Source organism: Homo sapiens, chromosome 1 (genome assembly GCF_000001405.40).
Source record: "Homo sapiens chromosome 1, GRCh38.p14 Primary Assembly".
In the NCBI taxonomy this organism is placed as follows: Eukaryota; Metazoa; Chordata; class Mammalia; order Primates; family Hominidae; genus Homo; species Homo sapiens.
In genome coordinates, this window is record NC_000001.11 from 29,049,916 (window position 1) to 29,073,328 (window position 23,413).

The 23,413-nt window shown below is 39.4% G+C and overlaps 1 protein-coding gene across 70 annotated transcripts in view; it reads left to right on the top strand.

Moving 5' to 3' along the window:
* The window catches only part of EPB41 (erythrocyte membrane protein band 4.1), a 232,942-nt gene that overhangs the window by 162,816 nt on the left and 46,713 nt on the right, over nt 1–23,413 (top strand). For 7 of the 70 annotated variants that reach the window (NM_203343.3, NM_001166007.2, XM_047448962.1 and 4 more), the window contains 2 exons: nt 3,189–3,397; nt 15,067–15,243. In NM_203343.3, coding sequence (NP_976218.1) covers nt 3,189–3,397; nt 15,067–15,243 — 386 coding nt within the window. Of the gene's footprint in view, nt 1–3,188; nt 3,398–8,673; nt 8,731–8,895; nt 8,938–10,506; nt 10,570–15,066; nt 15,307–18,817; nt 18,869–19,250; nt 22,659–23,413 lie in introns of those variants that run through there. The other 63 variants (NM_001166005.2, NM_001376022.1, XM_005245753.2 and 60 more) reach the window with 24 other exon arrangements.

A 23,413-nucleotide genomic window follows, 5' to 3' on the forward strand; every position in this document is an offset into this window, starting at 1 on the left:
GCAATCCTTACCCCCAACACTGTGAATATACTAAAAAGCATTGAATTATATATTTTAAATGAGTGAACTGTGTGGTATGTGAATTGTATCTCAAAAAAAGCTGTTAAAAAAAGCCATGATCACTACCATGATATTATAGAGTTAATATCTTCCATATTTTACAGATGATTAAACTAAAGTTTGTAAGATTAAGCTCCACGCCTTAGGCACACTACTATATGTGACTGAGTGTGGGCCTAAGACTCGTGATTTGGCTTTTGCCTCTGTTCCACGCAGCCTTTCACAGCCAGAGCTTTTTATTGTAATGTTATTATTTTTCCAATCTGTGAACTCTGTTTCTGTCAGTTTCCACACTAATACCTTCTTTTCCACATACAGTACAGATTGCCAAGGCTAGGAATGCTGAAGACATAAATCATTTGGCTCTGCAGTATTAGTACTGGATTGAAACCAAAGACAAGTGGCAAAATAACACATGGTGAAAGCATGGGCTAAGTTTCTATGATGCCAGGCATAGTTGAATTAATTCTTTGAGAGGAGGTGTGAATACACATGTATAATGATACTTAAACACAACTGTGAGCAAAATATTTTGTCACATTCCCCTGTGTTGTCAGGTTTGGTCTGCCATCTGCCACTCTTGCAGTGACTGCTTAAAGCACCCATTAGTAGTAGCTCTGTGCTAATCCAGAGTTATTACTACTAACCCAGTAGTAGCAATCTGTGCAAGAGGCCGCAGATTTTTCATGGAAAGATAAAGGAGATCCTTTTTTTTTTTGAGACAGAGTCTTGCTCTGTTGCCCAGGCTAGAGTGCAGTGGTACGATCTCGGCTCACTGCAAGCTCCACCTCCTGGGTTCAGGCCATTCACCTGCCTCAGCCTCCCAAGTAACTGGGACTACAGACGCCCGCCACCACGCCCAGCTAATTTTTTGTATTTTTTAGTAGAGATGGGTTTCACTGTGTTAGCCAGGATGGCCTCAATCTCCTGACCTCGTGATCCACCCACCTTGGCCTCCCAAAGTGCTGGGATTATAGGCGTGAGCCACCACGCCTGGCTGATAAAGGGGATTCTTGAATTTCTGCTGTTTTTCCTATATATCCGCTAAGGAATTAGTTCTTTCATTGGAAATTATGACAGAGTAATGAGCATTTCTTTCTTTTTCTTTTTCTGTTTTTTTTTTTTTTTTTTTTTTTTTTTTTGGAGACAGTCTGGCTCTGTTGCCCAGGCTGGAGTGCAGTGGCACGATCTCAGCTCACTGCAACCTCTGCCTCTCGGGTTCAAGTGATTCTCCTGCCTCAGCCTCCCGAGTAGCTATGACTACAGGCGCCCACCACCACACTTGGCTAATTTTTGTATTTTTAGTAGAGACGACGTTTCACCTTGTTGACCAGGCTGGTCTCGAACTCCCGACCTCAGGTGATCTGCCCACCTCGGCCTCCCAAAGTGCTGGGATTACAGGTGTGAGCCACCGTGCCTGGCCAAGCATTTCTTTCTTAATATTGTTGTATGAAGTAGTTGGGAATTTAAAGTTTTTATCTGTTCAGATTCATGGAATTCCTTTATCTGATCCTTACAGTTTACAAATCTAAAAATTTCAGGATGAATCATGTTCAGTTATAGTCAGTTTAAGAATGCAGGAAAGTCTATAATAAAAATTATTGATTTCCATGCAAATTGATTAAAATATAAGAGTCTTGGCTGGGAGCGGTGGCTCACGCCTGTAATCCCAGGACTTTGGGAGGCCAAGGCAGGCAGATCACTTGAGGTCAGGAGTTCAAGACCAGCCTGGCCAACATGGTGAAACCCCATCTCTACTAAAGATACAAAAAATTAGCCAGGCATGGTGGCATGTGCCTGTAGTCCCAGCTACTGGGGAGGCTGAGGCAGGAGAATCACTTGAACCTGAGAGGCGGAGATTCTAGTGAGCCGAGATCATGCCATTGCACTCTAGCCTAGGCGACAGGGCAAGACTCCATCTTAAAAAAAAAAAAAAAGTCTCAGTACAAAAGAGGATAACAATATGTTATCAGAAATACTAAATCATGCACAAAAACACTTTCATTCCTAGATACTGTCAGATAAGTGAAGTTTTATTACAAAGTGTAAATGTTTTATATCCCTGAAAGAATGAACATAAAAACCATAAAAAGAGTATGAGTGATTGTTTTGAAGTAAGCTGTCTAAAACTTAGATACCAAATATTCCAAAACAACAATTGGCTCTTTGAAAAGATCAAGATTTTATCATAAGTCTGTATAGTTTATTCTCTCTAAAACAGTCTATACAACTTTTCCCCTAAATTAAGGTTTCTCAACCTCAGTAACTTCAGCCTCTATGCACTGGATGCCAGTACCTCCCGTCTCTCCCCTCCTCTGTTACAACAACCAAAAATGTCTCCGGACATTGCCAGATATTCTCTGGGGACAATTTACTCCAGTTGAGAACCACTGCCCTAAACATATTAGAGAATAAGAGCTGTAATACAAATTGGTAAGGCTGAGAGATAGTAGGACAGAACTCAAAAGATATTTTTGTTTAGGTTTGAGGACTGACAGTCAAAGATTTTGAATTTGTGTTATTTTAATCAAATGATTTATTATTAAAAGGGAGAGCATCTGGTTCAAATATTTGTCCTTACAAGCATCAGAAAGTAGTTCATGTCTTACCAGAAGAGCCATTTATCAAGTTATTTTGTAATCATTCCAAGGAGGCTTACAGAAGAAATCAGACTTAATTCTTTTTTCTTACAATATATTTTTAGGTTCCTGAAATAACCTAAAAATGAACACATCTTTATTTTTAAAATGCCTCATGGAAGAAATCACATTTAGTTAACCCTTTTTTTCCTGCCATAGACAACATTGCAGGTTTTTGAAACTAAAATTACGAGATAAATGGATTTTCTATTTCTTTTCTTTGATCTTGTCTCCCCTGAATTCAGCATTCATGGAACATGATCATTAACACATTTTAGCCTTTCTACTGAGGGTACATTTAACTTCCTTGTTGCTATCAGTTCCCTGGCAGAGCACTAATGATTTATTTTTTACCCTCTGTGTGATAGCCCACTACACACTCTAACATTCGTGTGTATCCTGGATTCACAATTATTTTGCCTGGTGACTTTGAAATAATACAGTAGCTCTGGCCTTTACTTATGCTTCCCTTTTCCCTTTCTCACATAGCAGCAGCTGTCGATTCGGCAGACCGAAGTCCTCGGCCCACTTCTGCACCTGCCATTACTCAGGGTCAGGTTGCAGAAGGTGGCGTCCTAGATGCCTCTGCTAAAAAAACAGTGGTCCCTAAAGCACAGAAGGAAACAGTGAAGGCTGAAGTGAAAAAGGAAGACGAGCCACCTGAGCAAGCTGAGCCAGAGCCCACAGAAGCATGGAAGGTATGTCATCAGTCCAAATACCTAGCTAACTCACTTTCTGATTTAGAGGCCTTAACTTTTTGACCAGGAACGTTTTCAAAGCAATTGCTTATTCTCATAGACTCAACAAAGTTATTCTTCATTCTTTCTAAATGAAGATGTCTCCCATGAACCTATAAAATATTTTCGTAGAGTTATGTCAGTAAGACTGTAAGCTATCTCAGAAGTTATAAGGTGACCCACTCCTTGACCCAACTATTATTTTTATTTATTTATTTATTTTTTTGAGATGGAGTCTCGCTCTGTCACCCAGGCTGGAGTGCAGTGGTGCGATCTTGGCTCACTGCAAACTCCGCCTCGTGGGTTCATGCCATTCTCCTGCCTCAGCCTCCTGATTAGCCGGGACTACAGGCGCCCGCCACCATGCCCGGCTAATTTTTTGTATTTTTAGTAGAGACGGGGTTTCACCGTGTTAGCCAGGATGGTCTTGATCTCCTGACCTTGTGATCCGCCCGCCTCGGCCTCCCAAAGTGCTGGGATTACAGGCATGAGCCACCGCGCCCGGCCCCAACTATTATTTTTTTAAATGATCTTATAAAACACACCAGTATGATTGATCCTCTGCTTTTTAAAATAATTTTACTCATCTAGAAGGAATCTCCACATTGCTTTTTAAGACTAAGCTCTGCTATTGTGATTAAAATAAAATTTTATTTTCTAAGATGGATGTATGCACATTTCCAAAGAACTGGTATTACATAAAGCGCATCTGTGTGGTTGCTCAAATCTTAAGTACCTTTACAAAAAGGAGAAGATTCATTATGTAGGAGAGGTTGTACTGCTGAGTTGCCTATGGTTCTGAGTTAATTGCACCCACAGTCACTGCACTGTGTTGAAAAATCACCAATTTAATTAGCAGATTTCCTAGACAGTGACTAGACTGACCTTTTATATGTTAAGCTTTGTAAACACATTTAAGCCGTGATGGAATCGAAGTGCTAGCTCAGATTTATTGAAATAAATATAGCTCTTGCTGTTGGCAACAGGAATTATGAGAAGCAGTCTTCATAAGAAGAATTACATTTTTATATGTCTGTTAAGAAATTAAAAAAAATTTTTTTAACCATAAGATCTTAGTAAGTGTTCTCGCTTTGGCAGATGGATTAACCTTGTTCTTTTGGAGCCAGATCAATATCTAGTTTATCTCTAGAGCAGTGGACAGTCTAACTATGTTTTGATTATATTAAAAAAAAAAAAAAAAAAAAAAAAACTGTTAGGCCAGGTGTGGAGGCTCTCACCTGTAATCCTAGCACTTTGGGAGAGCAAGGCGGGCGGATCCCTTGAGCCCAGGAGTTCAAGACCAGCTTTGGCAAAATGGTGAAACCCCATGTCTACAAAAAATAAAAAAACTAGCTGGGTATGGTGACGCACATCTGTAGTCCCAGCTCCTTGGGGGACTGAGACAGAAGGATAGCTTGAACCTGAGAGGTTGAAGAGGCTTCAGTGCACCGAGATCGCCCACTGCACTTCAGCCTGGGTGACAAAGTGAGACGCTGTCTCAAATAGTGAAGCCCCGTCTTTACTAAAAATACAAAAATTAGCTGGGCATGATGGCAGGTGCCTGTAATCCCAGCTACTGGGGAGGTTAAGGCAGGAGAATTGCTTGAACCTGGGAGGCAGAGGTTGCAGTGAGCCCAGATCACACCACTGCACTCCAGCCTGAGTGACAGAGCAAGACTCCGTCTCAAAAAATAATAATAATAAATAAACTGTTAAATATGACATACAGTTTTACTGTCCATTTGGGACTACCTTGAGTCCAGAGAGAAAAACAGATTGAGTGAATGGTAGGTGTTTACATTTTTGTACCTAGCCAAATGTTTATGACATTGGTCATCAGGTTCACTGTCAACAATGCCTGTTTAATGTTAGACTACCTCTTCAGTTCTTAATGTTAGAATATCTCACCAGGCACTTTTGACTATCCCTCTATTTGTTATACTAACTAAAAAGTGTTGGATTACTGGAATTGTCAGGGGAATCTTCCTAGTGGCTAAGATTCCTCTGGCTTTCTGCTGACTCACTTTTTCTCCTTTTTGCCTATAACACAGACATAAATACCTTCAACAATAGGCTCCCTTTGCTCTTGGGAACTTGGCAGAGTGAAGAGATCACTACCTGGTATATGCTTTCCATTTTAAGTGCCAATAGGGGGTCTTTGTTGCCAATTAATTCTACATAAATATATGATTCGAGATACTTGTGTTGAAATGAGACTGAAGGCCACCTCTGATAACTTATTATTGTAATAGTGGTGGCAGAATTAAGGGTGACTCTGAGCTGATTTTATACATAGCAGTTAGAAAATAACTATGGCGGCAGGCACGGTGGCTCACGCCCGTAATCCCAGCAATTTGGGAGGCCAGGACGGGTGGATCACAGCCTGGCCAACATGGCAAAACCCCGTCTTTACTAAAAATACAAAAATTAGCTGGGCCTGCTGGCAGACACCTGTAATCCCAGCTATTTGGGAGGCTGAGGCAGGAGAATCACTTGAACCTGGGAGGCAGAGGTTGCAGTGAGCTGAGATTGCGCCACTGCACGCCACGCCAGCCTGGGCAACAGAGCAAGACTGTCTCAAAAAAAAAAAAAAAAAAAAAAAGGGCCGGGCGCGGTGGCTCACGCCTGTAATCCCAGCACTTTGGGAGGCCGAGGCAGGCGGATCACAAGGTCAGGAGATTGAGACCATCCTGGCCAACATGGTGAAACCCCGTCTACTAAAAATACAAAAAATTAGCCAGGCGTGGTGGCAGGCGCGTGTAGTCTCAGCTACTCGGGAGGCCGAGGCAGGAGAATGGCGTGAACCCGGGAGGCGGAGCTTGCAGTGAGCCGAGATCGCGCCGCTGCACTCCAGCCTGGGTGACAGAACGAGACTCCGTCTCAAAAAAAAAAAAAACAAAAAACAACAAAACAAAACAAAACAAAACAAAAAAAAAACTATGGCATTTACTTGAAGCCATATTTATTATATAAAGCAATAGTAGTGATAAAGTAGCCTTGTAACTGTAAATTTCATTATCTGACATTAGTTTGGTGCCAGATAGAGATAGCTTTTTGTTGGCATTTTAATGAGATATATTCTGCCAGTATACCTGTAGGTGCTGTCTCCCCCATGTATATTATCTCATTTAATGTTCTGTGTAGGGGCATACACAGAACTACTGTTGCTACTTGGCCTCAATTCTTTTTTTTGAGACGGAGTCTTGCTCTGTCACCCAGGCTGGAGTGCAATGGTGCGATCTCAGCTCACTGCAACCTCCGCCTCTCAGGTTCAAGCGATTCTCCTTCCTCAGCCTCCTGAGTAGCTGGGATTACAGGTGCCCGCCACCATGCCCAGCTAATTTTTGTATTTTTGGTAGAGACAAGGTTTCACCATGTTGGCCGGGATTGTCTCGAACTCCTGATCTCAGGTGATCCGCCCACCTCGGCCTCCCAAAGTGCTGAGATTACAGGCGTGAGCCACCGTACCCGGCTGGCCTCAATTCTTAAACTGAAGTAGAGGCTCTCAGTTTTCTGCTATTGGATTGATAAAGATCCAAAGCAAAAAGAAGTCATTATTCACTTGAACAAGGAATTTAAGCTTTGTAAAATAATTTAACACTATTGTTTGCTAAATGTACAATTCTGGGAAGACATCATCTCCATTTTGTCCATAAGAAGTTTAAGCTCTGAGGGGTAAAAAAAACTTGTTAATGACCACACAGCAAGTATGCTGGGACTCAAAGTAGAAATGACCCAAAACCAGCCAGGCGCAGTGGCTTACGCCTGTAATCCCAGCACTTTGGACGGCTGAGGCGGGCGGATCACAAGGTCAGGAGATCGAGACCATCCTGGCTAACACGGTGAAACCCCGTCTCTACTAAAAATACAAAAAATTAGCCAGGCATGGTGGCGGGTGCCTGTAGTCCCAGCTACTTGGGAGGCTGAGGCAGGAGAATGGCGTGAACCCGGGAGGTGGAGCTTGCAGTGAGCCGAGATCGCACCTGCACTCCAGCCTGGGCGACAGAGTGAGACTCTGTCTCAAAAAAAAAAAAAAAAAAAAAAAGAAAAAGAAATAACCCCAAACCGTTAATTACCCCTGGTAGTTAAAGTGCTGTAATGGGGTGTGCTTAACTTAACACTTGACAGTGTCACTAATTTTGGTGCTCTCTTAGGTTTTTTAGACTCAGTCTAGGGAAAATAGCACAATGACATTATACTCCAAAGTAATGCTGCTTAGTGTGATTAAAAAGAATATCAACACCACAGATTGATGAGGTTCTGTAAAGAACTTAATGATACAAAGTGATTTAGCCCTTAGTAAAAATAATCAATTTTTTAATTTAAAATATCCAATGCTTTGGGCATTGCTCCCTCTATTATGCTCCCTCTTAATAGTCTGTTTTTTTTAAATAATTGCTCCATTTTCTATGTATAAAATGATGTTACTAAAGGTATTTCAAAGCTAGGCAGGAGACCTTAGCTATTCCCTTTCTGCTATTAATATCAAGGATGAATCTTGCCCTTCTACCAAACACATAGGCTCCACCTCCCTAGAGGAGATTGCAGTGTGTTGAATGTTGCAGCTGAATCCTGCATGTGCTTGTTTATAAGCCAGCCCTGGGAGTAATTTCATGTGTCAGTTACAATTTAAATTGGGTTTATTGTAATGTTTTGTTGTGTAATAAACTGAAGAATGAAGTGCCTCTTTAAGTATATTGTTCAACTAACAAAATCCTTTGTGTTTACTAGTTTGGTGTCATATGTGGTTTATTACATGTGTGTTTTAACTAAAGATTTTCTTTTTCTTCCTGTCATATATGTCATACGTTGATAACTTCATATGTAAATTTGTTTTTAAATGTTATTTAAAGTATTTCCAGATCAGTTTTTAAAGGCAAAACAAAAACATGGGCTATTGCATTAAATAAGCCTAAATTATTCTTTTAGTGGGTACTTTTTTATAAATAAGTATAAAAATATATTTTCTTCATCAATAGAATACTTACCTTAATTTTCTTTTTTGATAATTTGGATATCCATATTACCTTTTCAGCCTTGAAAATGTGATGGTAAACACAGATGACTTTTGGGAGTAATATCCTTCCCTGTAACACCCTCCATAAGACTGCATCATGATGATTACGTATCAGCGTATTTCACAACCAGCTTAAAGATGCAGCTTATTTGGAAACAACACTATTCATAGAAACCTACTAACCTAAAATGTTTTTACTACTTTTATTTCTTAAATGTAGGTGGAAAAAACCCACATCGAGGTGACAGTACCCACCTCAAATGGTGACCAAACACAGGTTTGTGCCAATAGGCCACTTGTTCCTCTTTCCCTCCACCCCCTCAGTTTTTTTCTTCTCCCTTACTCCCTTTTCCTTAAAAAAATTATAAAATGAAGGTTCAAACAAACTTCAATGAGCAACATTTTATCATTTTTCTTTCTTTTTTAAATTATGGCAAAACAGAAGCTTGCAGAAAAAACTGAAGATCTGATAAGAATGAGGAAGGTTAGCCATTTTTCACTTTCACAAAACTACATTGCCATTTCACCCATGCTGACTTACAGTGCATTAAAAAGACAGTGATCCATTCTTTTCATTGATTTCTTTTAATCAGGAGTTGTTAATAGTTTCAAATAATGGATATGGGCCAGGAGCATTGGCTCACACCTATAATCCCAGCACTTTGGGAGGCCGAGGCAGGAGGATCACTTGGGGTCAGGAGTTTGAGACCAGCCTGGCCAACATGGTGAAACCACGTCTCTACTAAAAATACAAAAATTAGCCAGGCGTGTTGGTGCACGCCTTTAATCCCAGCTACTTGGGAGGCTGAGGCATGAGAATCACTTGAACCTGGGAGGTGTAGGTTGCAGTGAGCTGAGATCGTGCCACCGTGCTCCAGCCTGGGTGACAGATATACACATATATTTACATAAACTGAAGAAACCATAATCCTGTACTATATGTTGAAAAGTTTCATTAAACTTTTCAGTAGCAAAATATGTTTTTAAGCAAAATGAAATAATCAGTGAGAGTCAAACCTATCTTTTGTATTTAAAAATTTATAAGAACTATTTCACAATGACATCATATTCTTGGAATAATTGATAATATTTTATATACATTTATCATAAAATGAAAACCATCATAGCTGGCTGTGATGGCTCACACCTGTAATCCCAGCACTTCGGGAGGTCAAGGCAAGAGGATCCCTTGAGCCCAGGAGTTCAAGACCAGCCTGGGCAACATAGGGAGACCCCATCTCTTCAAAAAATAAAAATAAATTAGCCAGGCATGGTGATACACTCCTGTGGTCCCAGCTGCTTGGGAGGCTGAGGCAGGAGGATCACTTGCGTCCAGGAGGTTAAGGCTGCTGTGAGCCACAGCTGCACCACTACATTCCAGCCTAGGTGACAGAGTAAGACCCTGTCTCCAAAAAAACACCCACTGTAGCAGCAACTCCCAGTACTGTGTACAGCCGACTTCTCTGTGCCTCATTCTTTTCATCTATAGAGTGGGATGAATCAGTCTGAATCAGTTAACTGAGTATATTTATTGGCTGATCATGTATAAAATGATAATCTTTCTTAGATCTTTTTTATAAAAGAGATCTAATCTTTTATTAGATTTTATAATTAGAGATCTAGATACTGCAGTGTCACTAAGTATAAAATACATCCCAAAAGCTAAATAATGTTTTTAAAGCATTTCTTCACTCCATGATACATGGAGTTTCAGCGTTTTTTAGTCATATATTTTAAGGTAACCCTCAAACAGTTCAATTTCAAAAATGAAGATAAAACAGCTTGTTACATAAGAAGCCAATGAAGCCAGGAGCACTGTCTATTTAAATAACATCATCACATTCTTTCATCATTCATGAAAAAGGTCATCATTTTCTTGTGGTAATCATGTTCTGTGTCCGTGTGACTCTCTGACCATTTCATGTTGGCATATGCTGCGCTGTGGACATTTATTTTTAAATATTTTTTGGTTTGCCAATTTTCAGTTTTTTCCCGCAAGAACAACATTTTAATTTTTTATGCTTTTCTGTTTTCCCCCCTTTCATTTTCACAGAAAAAGAGAGAAAGACTAGATGGTGAAAACATTTATATCAGACATAGCAATTTAATGTTGGAGGTTTGTATGAACTTGAAGCTTATTTCAGTTGGTTGCCTGGAACCTTCTGCATTCTTTGCTGATCCCCTTTTCTTCATTCTGTGCTGCATTTGGTTTTGCATGCAATTGCATGAAGGGACTTTAGGTTTAAAATGCTTTTGCATGTTGGTGAACATGAAGATATGCAAACATCTCGCCTTCTGATTCTTTTTAGTTTCTATCTGTCATACTTACCTGGAAAAATATATGATTGGGACTACCTCTACCTCTCATGGTTCCATTGTTTTACCCACCTTTAGAAAATTCTACACCATTGCTAAAAGTTCCTTTAATTTTCCAAGAGTATAAACTTCCATATGTCCCAAGATGCAAATTTGCACTATTCTTTCATTTTCTGAATTAAGAGAGTGTGAAAAAGAAGGGAATTCAGAATGGACTTAAAATATTGGAGATAATAGAAAAATGACAGAAGAACTGTCGGGGAGGGGCGGGAAGTAAGATATAAGAAGGAAAGAGGGGAGCCTAGCATTTAATAAGTAGTTACTATAAGATGGTTTAATCATAAAAACAGGCCTGTGGGTATGGGATTGTTATTTTAAAGATGACAAAATTGAACCTCAAAGAGATTAAGTAATTTCCCTGTAGTCCCAGAACTGGAAAGCCAAGATGTGAGTTAGGATCTGTCCAACTCTATTAAACTACACTGTTTTGCACTCTGAAATAGCAACATGCTGTCTGCTATAGGAGTTGTAAGATTATTTTCCCATTATATTCAACATTGGTCATATATATATAAAATTTTTATTTTATTTTATTTTATTTTTGAGACAGAGTCTCGCTCTGTCGGCCAGGCTAGAGTGTAGTGGCGTGATCTCAGCTTACTGCAAGCTCCGCTTCCCGGGTTCACGCCATTCTGCTGCCTCAGCTTCCCAAGTAGCTGGGACTACAGGCGCCCGCCACCTGTCTGGCTAATTTTTTTGTATTTTTAGTAGAGACGGGGTTTCACTGTGTTAGCCAGGATGGTCTGGATCTCCTGACCTCGTGATTCGCCCACCTTGGCCTCCCAAAGTGCTGGGGTTACAGGCGTGAGCCACTGCGCCTGGCCTTTGTTTTTTTTTTTTTTTTTTTTTTTTTTGAGGCGGGTCTCACAGTGTTACCCAGGCTGGAGTGCAGTGGCTCAATCACTGCTTACTGCACTCTCAGCCTCCTGGGCTCAAGCAATCCTCCCATCTCAATCTCCTGAATAGCTGGGGCTATGGGTGCATGCCACAATGCCCAGCTAATTTTTAAATTTTTGGTAGAGACAGGATCTCAGTATGTTGCCCAGGCTGGTCTTAAACTCCTGGACTCAAGTGATCCTTCTGCCTTAGCCTCCCAAAGTACCGGGGTTACAGGCATGAGCCACTGGACCCAACCTAAACTTTAAAAACTAGATAGACCTCTGGCTTAATATATAGCCTCTAATAATTATTTAAACCTCATCTTATTCCTTGTCAATACCTGTATTTTGAGTACTTGTTATGTATAAAGTCTCTGAGAAAAAAATATGCCCAGCCTTCATTAAACATGTATTGCGTGGTGGGTGAAATACCAAGTGCTTTACATATCTTTGTCTCATTTAACATGAAGTTTTTCGAGGCTGGACCCTCAGATATTTCAAACTTGGCAACTGGATCTCTTTGTTTTAGCCCATATCTGAAACCAGACCTGAGTAGTTCCATCTTCAGAGACTAGGAAGAATAGTGAAGGTCAGTTGATTTCCTTTATTTGGCAGTGTAACATCTTGAAATTCTAAACATGCATATTTCCTGACTAGTTCGTCTTCAGTGCTTCCTCTTAACTGGAACCTGCAGTACCAATCATATATTTGTCATTTGTTCCATGAGGTGTGTTATGGCTTCTGAGACTCACAAAGTCCCTGTGTGTGATGTGTTTTTCCCTCAGCATTTCATTGACAGCCCTGAGAGGGGATTTCTAAATAAGTGTGTTTGGAAATTAAAACCACTAACTGCCTTTTGAGAACATTTTATATTTAATGAAGTGTTTGGTTTGATTGCTGCTAAAATTATGAAGTGATAGGCATCAAAAAGTGTCTAACCTGAACACAGCCAAAGTAATTTGGCCATCATTCTTTAGAAGTTTTTTCCCCTGTAAGGAAGTTCTCTCAAGTTATCTGTCACTCCAGCAGGTTTTTTTTTTTTTAAGCATCCCTCCTCCCCCTTCTCCTACCCCGCCCCCACTAATGCTTTGTTCTGGCACAAATAAGGTCGAGTTCATTTTTAGATCTACCGCCTCCTCCTCCATCTCCCAGAGAGAACCTGTAGCAAGTTGTCTATGACAAATTCTATTTGGAACAGGTCCCTTTGAGATCTTAATTTTACTCTGTGCCCCCACAGGTTTTCAACAAAGCCAGCTAAGAAGGATGGAGAAAGCTCCCTCAGAAGCTACTGGTTTTACCAAAACATTTATTTTCCCAGGTTCCAAGCCAATCCGAAGCTAGGCAAGAAGAGTAGCAAATTACAAGTCTCTTACATTAAGAGGTTAACTAAGAGAGTTATCATTTTACATAGCATCTCTTGCTTATTTTTGTTTTGCTCTATTCACACCTTTAACCCTCCCAAATGTATTAGGTTGTTCTTGGCCCAAACAGATTTTAATTTCCAGTGAGGAGCTGGGTCACAGGACCTTACATGCCTGGTGGGTCTGGTTGCTCAGTCCAATACTGGGTCTTTGAATGGGCTTGTTCATGCTTTTCTTTAGCTACTAGACATGCTTTTCTTGCTTTCAGCCAGAAGAAAAGTGCAAACTGTTGTTTCCCCCATAGTGAAGTCCATATTCATAAAATATATTCACATTTCATCCCAGCAAGCAAAACATGCTCTTCTGGGATAGCTATAGGATTGCCCTTTTGGAGTTAGCTTTCTGTTTGATCTCAAAGCAGGTATACATGGTTCAGTCTTGCAAAAATAAAAAGAATAGACTAATGAATTTTCTGAATGAATATCTACAGAATCAAAATCGTCTCACTGATTATTCTTCTTATGCTGTTTTCCCTTTGACATTGCTTTTGAAAAAGTTTTATTTAGTTAAAACCTGTATTACCCTCAGAAAAAACTTTTAAGCAAAATTTTATTTAAATGAATTATAATTTTTTACCCCAATACAGCTGTTTCCTACAGAGCCAAAAAAGAAAGACTAAATCCAAAATTCACCAAGCATATTAGGAGATGTATTTAGCATTATGCTTTTCTTGGATACAAAGCTGCCTTGATATATAATAAACACAGAATTTTTTACAGTCATCAAGTGATGGGCTCCCACATGTTTTGATCTCAAGCATAGATCTTTTAAGGTTTTTTGAAGTATTGTTGGACAAAGAACATTTGAGTTTTTGTCTTCAAGTTATATTTACCATACTATTTTTGGCCAAGTCCCCTTTTTGAAAGTTGTTATATACCTCCTTTTACATAAACCTGAATATTATTTCTAACTCATGCTTTATTAACCTAAGCTTCATTCATTTCTCCCTGGAATATCCCTTTAATAGCTTGCCTGTACCTCAGGTTGCCCAGTATTCAAATTTGCTAGGATATATACCTACTATATACCCACAAAAATTAAAAAAAAAATTTAATCTGCTGGAACAGTTGAATTATTTTAAATTGTCAAGGAGATATATAAGGTATTTGGTGAACTCTTGTTAACTCACTCTCAATCCTTTGAAGGTTATTGCAAGAAGTCCCTGTTTTGAGCTGTACTAAGTGATGAAGTGAAGCTGTTAGAAGCTAGAAAGCCTAAGGCGTTTAGTTTATGTGCATATTGTTGACAAAGAAAAAAAGTCATTTTATTATGTACCTCTGAGTGATTTTTCAGAGGTAGTAACAGTCTGCTCTGGAGCCTTTAACTAGGAATTTCAGTAATAAATTCTTACATCAAAAAAGGGCTATTCTTGTTTTTTAAAAAGCAGAAACAGCCACCTAGTAATAGAGAAGTAAAACCATCTCCAGGTAGAAATAGAAGGATACTGTATGTTTGCAACTCAACAAGACAAGACAGCCAATGGTGGAAGTTGTATGTTTCACCATGCCTTCATTAAACAGTTTGTTTATCTGTTGCTATCTCCATCCTCCTAAGCTGAGCCTAAAATAATTTCTTATCAAGCTGAGGCTAATTGAGTTGTGGAACTACCTTCTTGGGATGAGAAGTTAGAGATCTGCTGCTGTGTCATAATGGGAAGAAGAATCATAAATTAAGGCGTGAGTTCTTTATGGGTTATATAACTGCTAACAGCTATGGAGTTGTGATACTTCACAGCTTCTAAGAAAAGCACTTTATTTAAAGAAAAAAAAGGCAAGCAAATATACCATGTTGTATATTTATAATCTGAATGCAGATTAGTAACATCTGTCCTGGATGTGGTATGTTTTCTACCAGTGCCCAGTCTCTGACGGGTTGCCCTTGATTATGTTCTTTGTCCTGATTGTGTATTGTTTTGCATCTTTGTCCTTTCAACTGTAGGATTTAGACAAGAGTCAAGAGGAGATCAAAAAACATCATGCCAGCATCAGTGAGCTGAAAAAGAACTTCATGGAGTCTGTACCAGAACCACGGCCTAGTGAATGGGATAAACGCTTATCCACTCACTCACCCTTCCGAACTCTTAACATCAATGGGCAAATCCCCACAGGAGAAGGAGTGAGTACTTTGTCCACATGACCAATTGTGAAAATGGAGGGAATAAATGTTTTTATGTATTAATATTCTGTATCTGAGAGAAAGCTTAGAGCTGAAATTTGGATTTGGTGCCTCACTATATTCATTGCTGCTTTAAGGCATTTGTAATCAAATATTTATTTTTTTTTAAGTCAGGTAGGCTACCCAGTGCAATTATAGGAGCTATTTGGAGCCACCAGTAGATGATTAGCCTCTGAGAACTGTCTCTGCAGCTACATGCTTCTGGCTAATGTATGTTTATAAACTGACCATAAGCCAGTAGAGGTTTATTTGTATTCAAACTGTGCCTTCAGGGACTAGAAAGTTTACTAAATTTAGGAAGGTCAAAATAGGAAAGACATTAGTCTTTTTAAAAAGCTTTATTTGAACATTTGCACAACTTAGAAATATCTGGACTGGTTCCCCACAATTATATAGTAAACCAAGGAGGCCCCTAAGCCAGAGAATTCAGAATTCCAAATATTAATGATTGTATTTCAATTTTAGAAAAACTATGGGCTGGGCACCATGGCTCATGCCTGTAATCCCAGCACTTTGGGAGGCCAAGACAGGCAGATCACTTGAGTCCAGTAGTTTAAGACCAGCCTGGGCAACATGGCAAAACCCCATCTCTACAAAAATTAGTCAGGTATAGTGGTGTACACCTGTGTAGTCCAGCTACTCAGGGGGCTGAAACAGGAGGATTGCTTGAGCCAGGAGACCAAGGCTGCAGTGAGCCATGATTGCACCACTGCACTACAGCCTGGGTGACAGAGTGAGACCCTGTCTCAAAAAAAAAAAAAAAAAAGGAAAAGAAAAATGATTTATTTTATCTTTATGAGTAATATTAAACTTTTAATACACTGTTTTGTAAGATAGTCACAATTAGAGGTCAGAGATACCTTTCAGGGGCTCTTCTTTTTCTGTTATTGTCATTACCTATTTTAGAAATCCTACATCTGGGCCGGGCGCGGTGGCTCACGCCTGTAATCCCAGCACTTTGGGAGGCTGAGGTGGGCGGATCATGAGGTCAGGAGTTCGAGACCAGCCTGGCCAGCATGGTGAAACCCCATCTCTACTAAATATACAAAAATTAGCCGGGCATGGTGGCACATGCCTGTAATCCCAGCTACTCAGGAGGCTGAGGTAGGAGAATCACTTGAACCTGGGAGGCGGAGATTGCAGTGAGCCGAGATCACACCACTGCACTCCAGACTGGGCAACAGAGTGAGACTCCGTCTCAAAAAAAAAGAAAAAAAAGAAATCCTACATCTGAATAAATGAATCTATTAAACATTTAATGAAAATATCTTGAAAGTTACCATGAACATATACCCCAAAAGTTTTTATCTTTAGTCAGTACAAGTGAAATATTTATATAGTCACAATGACTCAATAAGTGATTATGATTTAAAAATTATGTGCTTGTTTTTCCCCCAAAACAATAGCAATTCTAGTTTAAAAAAGTAAAATGATGTCTTAATAATTTTAAAACTTTTTTTTTCCCTTTCTTTGAGATGGAGTTTCACTCTTGTTGCCAAGGCTGGAATGCAATGGCACGATCTTGGCTCCCTGCAACCTCCACCTCCTGGCTTCAAGCGATTCTCCTGCCTCAGCCTCCCTAGTAGCTGAGATTACAGGCGCCTGCCGCCACGCCCAGCTAATTTTTTATATTTTTATTAAAGATGGGGTTTCACTACGTTGGTCAGGGTGGTCTCAAACTCCTGACCTCAGGTGATCCACCCGCCTCAGCCTCCCAAAGTGCTGAGATTACAGGCATGAGCCACCGTGCCCAGCTAAAACTTTTTTTTTTTTAAATTTTCAGAATTTATGGTAAACTATCCAAATTATTATTTAGTTTCTGGAACTGGAGAAGGTGATAAAAGTTGGTTCACAGGCCGGGCTTGGTGGCTCACACCTATAGTCCTAGCACTTTGGGAGGCTGAGGCGGGCTGATCACTTGAGGTCAGGAGTTTGAGACCAGCCTGGCCAACATGGCGAAACCCCATCTCTACTAAAAATACAAAAAAATTAGCCGGGGCCAGGCACGGTGGCTCACGCCTGTAATCCCAGCACTTTGGGAGGCCGAGGCGGGTGGATCACGAGGTCAGGAGATCGAGACCATCCTAGCTAACACGGTGAAACCCCGTCTCTACTAAAAAACAAAAAATTAGCCAGGTGTGGTGGCAGGCACCTGTAGTCCCAGCTACTTGGGAGGCTGAGGCAGGAGAATGGCGTAAACCTGGGAGGCGGAGCTTGCAGTGAGCCGAGATCGCGCCACTGCCCTTCAGCCTGGGCGACAGAGCGAGACTCTGTCTCAAAAAAAAAAAAAAAAAAAAAAAAAGCCAGGCATGGTGGCATGCGCCTGTAATCTCAGCTACTTGGGAGGCTGAGGCAGGAGAATCGCTTGAACCCAGGAGGCAGAGATTGCAGTGAGCCGAGATCGCGCCACTGCACTCCAGCCTGGGCAACGGCAAGACTCCGTCTTAAAAAAAAAAAAAAAAAAATTGGTTCACAAAGGGTACTTTTTGTATTTTTCAAAGTGTGACTAAAATTGGCTAACAGTTCTCCAAACAGAGCTGAACAGTTTCACAAATAAGGCTGGAGAATACCTGAGTAATGGGCAGCTAAATAGAGTTACCAGGGATGACAGGACGCTATTGTTTCCTACTCACTGTCCTCTCAGCCTCCATTTTCTGATATAAATGGACTTTAGTTTTGTGTTCTAAATCTAGAGCATGTATCCTGAACTGAGACAATAACTCTGCTTTCTAGGCAAGACCACTGTTTTCAGTGTCAGTAGGATACTTAATTTTGATGTATCTGTAGTAACAAGAGTCATAAAGGGTCTAGTATTTCTGGTTGTGGCTTGATTTGATTTAGAGGGTCTGGCTAGTCAAAGCCTAAATGAACAATTCTGAACAAGTAATTTATCATATTGGGCCTTAGTTTATGGAGTAGATGATCTTTAAGGTCCCTGTTAACTCTAAAATTCTGTAAGTCTGTGACTCCATAAGAAAATGCCTTGTCGCTATTTCACCCAGTTAACCCTATCTGCAAACTATAACTGCGTATTTTCTAGAAGTTTTCTTTTTGACTCTGTGCAAGTAATAAAAGATACTCGACTACTTTGAAAAAGTAACTTGGTCCTCTCTTGGATGAGGCTGGGTAAATTTGAATTAGTCTCCATTTCCAGGAAATATCTTACATCTTTTAATAGAAACCTTTCAGAAATCTTCTCAGGGTTGGTTTTGGGAATGGTGATGTCATTCTGTGTACTTTAAAGAAATAACTTTTTATAAACTAAACAATATCCATGGGAGTACTTGAACAATTTTAGCTCTATGCTATTACCCCTGTAAATGAATAGTGGAATAAATAAGCACTGTATTATGGTGACCTTTAATATTGGGTAATTCTACTTTCTGGCATATCTTACTTTTTCTTTAACAATTGGGATACTATTTCCATTCTCTGGGGATACCTCTTCCACCTTTGACGGTATTGTTGTTGCATTGCAAGGCAACTGAATTTTATATAATTTGTGTATGACCAGGTGAAGAAAACTTCTGTCCTACCCTCGGAAAGAAAGGTTGGTGGGCCAGAGGTAAAGCTGCTGTTATGACTTGTGCTTCTCAATCAGAATTTGCTCTTGTCATGGCACTAAGCAGATAATCCCCCCAGAACTGAACAACAGCTGCTGAATACCTTTTTTTCTTTTGGCTATACTAGTAAATTCACACCCACAGCCTTTCGGCCTAACACATAACACTTCCACTGCTGCAGCTTTTGCAGCTTTCGATTTGCTTATTTCGGCGCATGGCTGGTTGAAAAGCTGCATGAAGATATAAATATGTTTTCAGAGAGAAAATGAATTTAATTATACCCTATTCTTTTTATGTTGTCTTTCTTCTCCCACTTTATTTTCTTTCAAAAATCATCATAATTTTGCATCCTTTCTTTTCCTTTTTTTCTTTTTTGCTGACCAGTCCCCTAGCTACTTTCTCCCTGATACATATCACTTAGGGGTGTGCAAAGAACCAGTGTTGAACTTCCAAACTGATCAGAGAAGGCTAGCTCAACTGAGAGAACTTAGAGCCAAGTTTTTCCTTTCATAGATAACATCTGTCTTGACTATGGATAGCAGAGTACAGAAATTGCAGGGGGAATAAAAACTTCTCAATTGGACAATTGGGGAGAAAAAACTTTCTTTAAAAGTGTCTAAAGCATTTGCTTAAAGTAATGTATAAACCTTCATGATGGTCATTATTATTTATTTGTTTTGGTGAACCTTGGAGGGACATTATAAACTTTTATACTTTTTGTTTTTCTTTTGCAATCTTTAAAATGTATAAGATTAAGATTTTTTATTTCTGGAGCAAAAACTAATTGCTATACTGAATGAACTGTTGCTTTTAAAACTGTTGTTTTTAAAGTCTATATGAAGAGATATAAGGATTACTTTTTATATTCTGCCATTATATTTGTAATAAAAGTAACTTTTTTTTTTTGTCTGAGACAGACTGTTGTTCTGTCCCCCAGGCTGGAGTGCAGTGGCGCGATCTCAGCTCACTGCAACCTCTGCCTCCCGGGTTCAAGCAATTCTCCGGCCTCAGCCTCCTGAGTAGCTAGGATAACAGGCATGTGCCACCACGCCCAGCTAATTTTTGTATTTTTAGTAGAGACGGGGTTTCACCATGTTGGCCAGGCTGGTCTCAAACTCCTGACCTCGTGATCCGCCCACCTCGGCCTCCCAAAGTGCTGGAATTACAGGCGTGAGCCACTGCGCTCAGCCAAAAATAACTTTTATGATGGCAAGGAGAATGCTTCATTATTGGCATTGCCCAATTAGTGATTGGCAGCACCAAAGTAATAGAAAATGACCTAAAATTCATATGTGAATATCCTCAAAGGAAGAATAAATAACATAGCAAGGGGAAAGCCAGTGATTCCTTGAACTTTCCGTTCTAATGTTCACTCACTCAAAAAGGTATCTATTGAGCACCCTATTGTGTTACAGAAACTTTGCCAGGATAAATTGCCAAAATAAAGTAAAGCTAAAATGAAGAGTGTCTAAAAGATACTTCCAAATCCTTTGCACATCCCCAAGTATCATTTTTGAGCATTTTCCATCTGTCATTTTGTTCATCTTATTCTGTCTTTCTTGATCTTCTACTGTGAAAGCAGACACAGGAACGTGCTCTGTTAGTACAGGATGAAGAGAAAATTAAAAGGCAAGAAAGATCTACTGAAAGAGCCTTGCCCCAGCAAGAAAATGAAGAAATTCTTCCCAAGGTTTCTATTCCAATCCCTGAGGATCACAAGTCTCTCAAAAAGTGCCACCTCTACTTTAGTACTTTTCCATCTCCTCGTATTCCTTTCATGATGTCTTTTCTCGTGATCCTTGTGTTGGCTGTTTGGTGGTTGGTCTTTCTGTGATCAGAAAACAGGGTGCTCATCTGAAATGTCAAGACCATTGAACTTCTGTCCTTGGCTTCAACTGTGTTATTGCTGTATGATGCCCTCTGATCTTGATAGTTCACTATCCTAGGGGAGCTCTTGTGATCATTTTTCTGTCAAATGTTACTCTTTGTAGAGTATGTATTGTGGGGTACAAAGGAGTAGCAATGGACTGCCCAAAGCCAGCTTTTCTGCATTGAAGTTTAACAAATTTAAACAAATCAGAATTAAGCATATGGCAGGTTGGTAATCTTCCCAAAAGCTTTAACTCTTTTATCCTGCATGTTTACTGTTTACTATTGTTATGTCTTCCTATCCAATATCTCACACAAACCAGGATACTCTCTAGATACATTTGATGGAATATTTTCCTAATCCTCTATAGTCATTTGTTTGGCATGGGCTTCATAGTTTAAGAAAAAATTTCAACTCGCTAACCTTTCAGAAGCCTTAAAATGATAACGTTTTAATCTACAAATCCATAACCACTCCTTTTCTTAGGATATCAAACCAGTATAAACAAAAGTCTTTTCTGGAAAAGGGCTTTTGACTTCTGTGGCCTTTTTATGAGTATTTCTGAGCTGTACAGGGACAGACAACTTTTTCCTGCCTGGTGTATAGAAGAGATCTTCAAAGATTAAATGCCATCTTTTCACAAGTAGAGTGTTGATATGGTTTAAGGAAAATGGTGCTGGTGCCCCTTAGCCTCCAGCCAGGACTGAAATTCTCAGACTACTCTACCTATCCTTAAAAGTCTGGAACACAGATTTACTCAAGATCTGTACATAAACCCTTCTCTGAATTAAGATACTGTGTTACTTCTTTATGGCTTTACTAATTATATTGCTAGCAGCAATAGTTAGCCATTGCTAAGCTTAAAATATATATTGATATACTTTGTTTTCCTGATATACTTCAGACCTGTTTGTTCGTGTACTTGTGTTGAAATCAATTGTTTTTAATCAATGGCTTTGTGACCTCAAGTTCACTTGTGACAAGTATGTGTCCTCTGTTTGCATGTTGACTTCTAAGACTTACCTGAAGTAAATGTGGGCACTCTCTCTCTCTTCAGGACAACTCACATGCCTAACCTGTTATTTTTTACCTCAATATTGAAGAAACCTTGCATGTAGCTTGCTTTTTATGGCACTTGAATGTACCAATATGGATGATTTGGTTAATGTCTCAAATATTTGTTTTGAAATCTGAGTTTATAGGGTTATCAAACTAAGATTATTATACTTTGTTTTACTTCTCAATGCTTTTCAGTTGATGAAACTTCTAAACAAGACTTTTTGTTTTTGAGAAGATGGCCTCTTAGAGCAAAAAAAGAGAACAGTAAAGACAAGAATCTTTTGTCCTTCAACATCTACCAATATTGTTCTCTTGTCTCTGGAGACATGTAGAAATAATTATCTGTTATTTCCTGAAAACTGCTACGCTGTCATTATAGGCTTTCCCAAGAAATGGAAAAAGAAGCAAGGACCAGGTTAAAATTTAAAATTTGGTGTGCGTATATATCTTTTATGTCACAGGCTATGTCTATTTATAATATATATTTTGTAAATAAGTATATTTATTGATTCACTCATAATAAGAGGGACCTGAAATATTACAAAGCTGTTCTCTACCACAGAAAGTAATAATCATGAGTACTCTCTTTTATCTGGGAAATAAAGATACAAGAGTTTCCCTTAATGAAATAACAAATTGGACTATAGAATTGGTTAGATTATTTTAAATCTTTTTTTAAGGAATTAAAAGGAAATAATCAGAACTTTATTTATACTTTTATAACTGTTTCAGATTATAATTCCTGAATTTCCAGTTTTCATCCTTATACACAGCTTTTTATTAATTACTATTGTAAACTTCACCCTGAATTTTATTTCTCTTTGTATTGGAGTTATTCCAAGTCCATTAAAAGTCTAAGCCAATGATACTTTTCAGTTTTCTGAAATGCAGCAAGAGTCCTCGGAGATCTTTATTGAGAGTCAAAGGAGAGGCCATTTCTTCTATCAATAGGGTAAGAATGATTAAGAGGAGAATGGCCAAGCCCTTGTATTGGATGAAGCTGACCAATGCAGACTCAAAAGATACCATCACAATTATCAGAGGAAAAATATTGGGCATTCCAGCTTTGTATTACCTAAAGGTAACACTGCCAATATTTGCAACATAAAGCGTAAATGGGCTGGGCGTGGTGGCTAACACCTGTAATCCCAGCACTTTGGGAGGCTGAGGCGGGCAGATCACCTGAGGTCAGGAATTTGAGACCAGCCTGTGCAACATGGTGAAACCCCACCTATACTAAAAATACAAAAATTAGCTGGGCATGGTGGCACACACCTGTAATCCGAGCTACTTGGGAGGCTGAGGCAGGAGAATCGCTTGAACCCGGGAGGCAGAGGTTGCGGTGAGCCAAGATCACACCACTGCACTCCAGCCTGGGTGACAGAGTGAGACTCTGTCTCAAAAAAAAAAAAAAAAAAAAAAGTGTAAATAGTCTTGGTTTCCTTCCTTCATTTTCAGTACCAGAGGCAAATTCTAATACATATTGGTGTTACCCTGATTCAGCTTCTTAATGGCAAGCTGATAAATAAAAAATAATTTGGAGTAAAGGTATCAATACAGACCAGTATAATATTTTGGGTTTTTGCTTTGGTTTTGTCATTATTCATTTCTAGGGTGA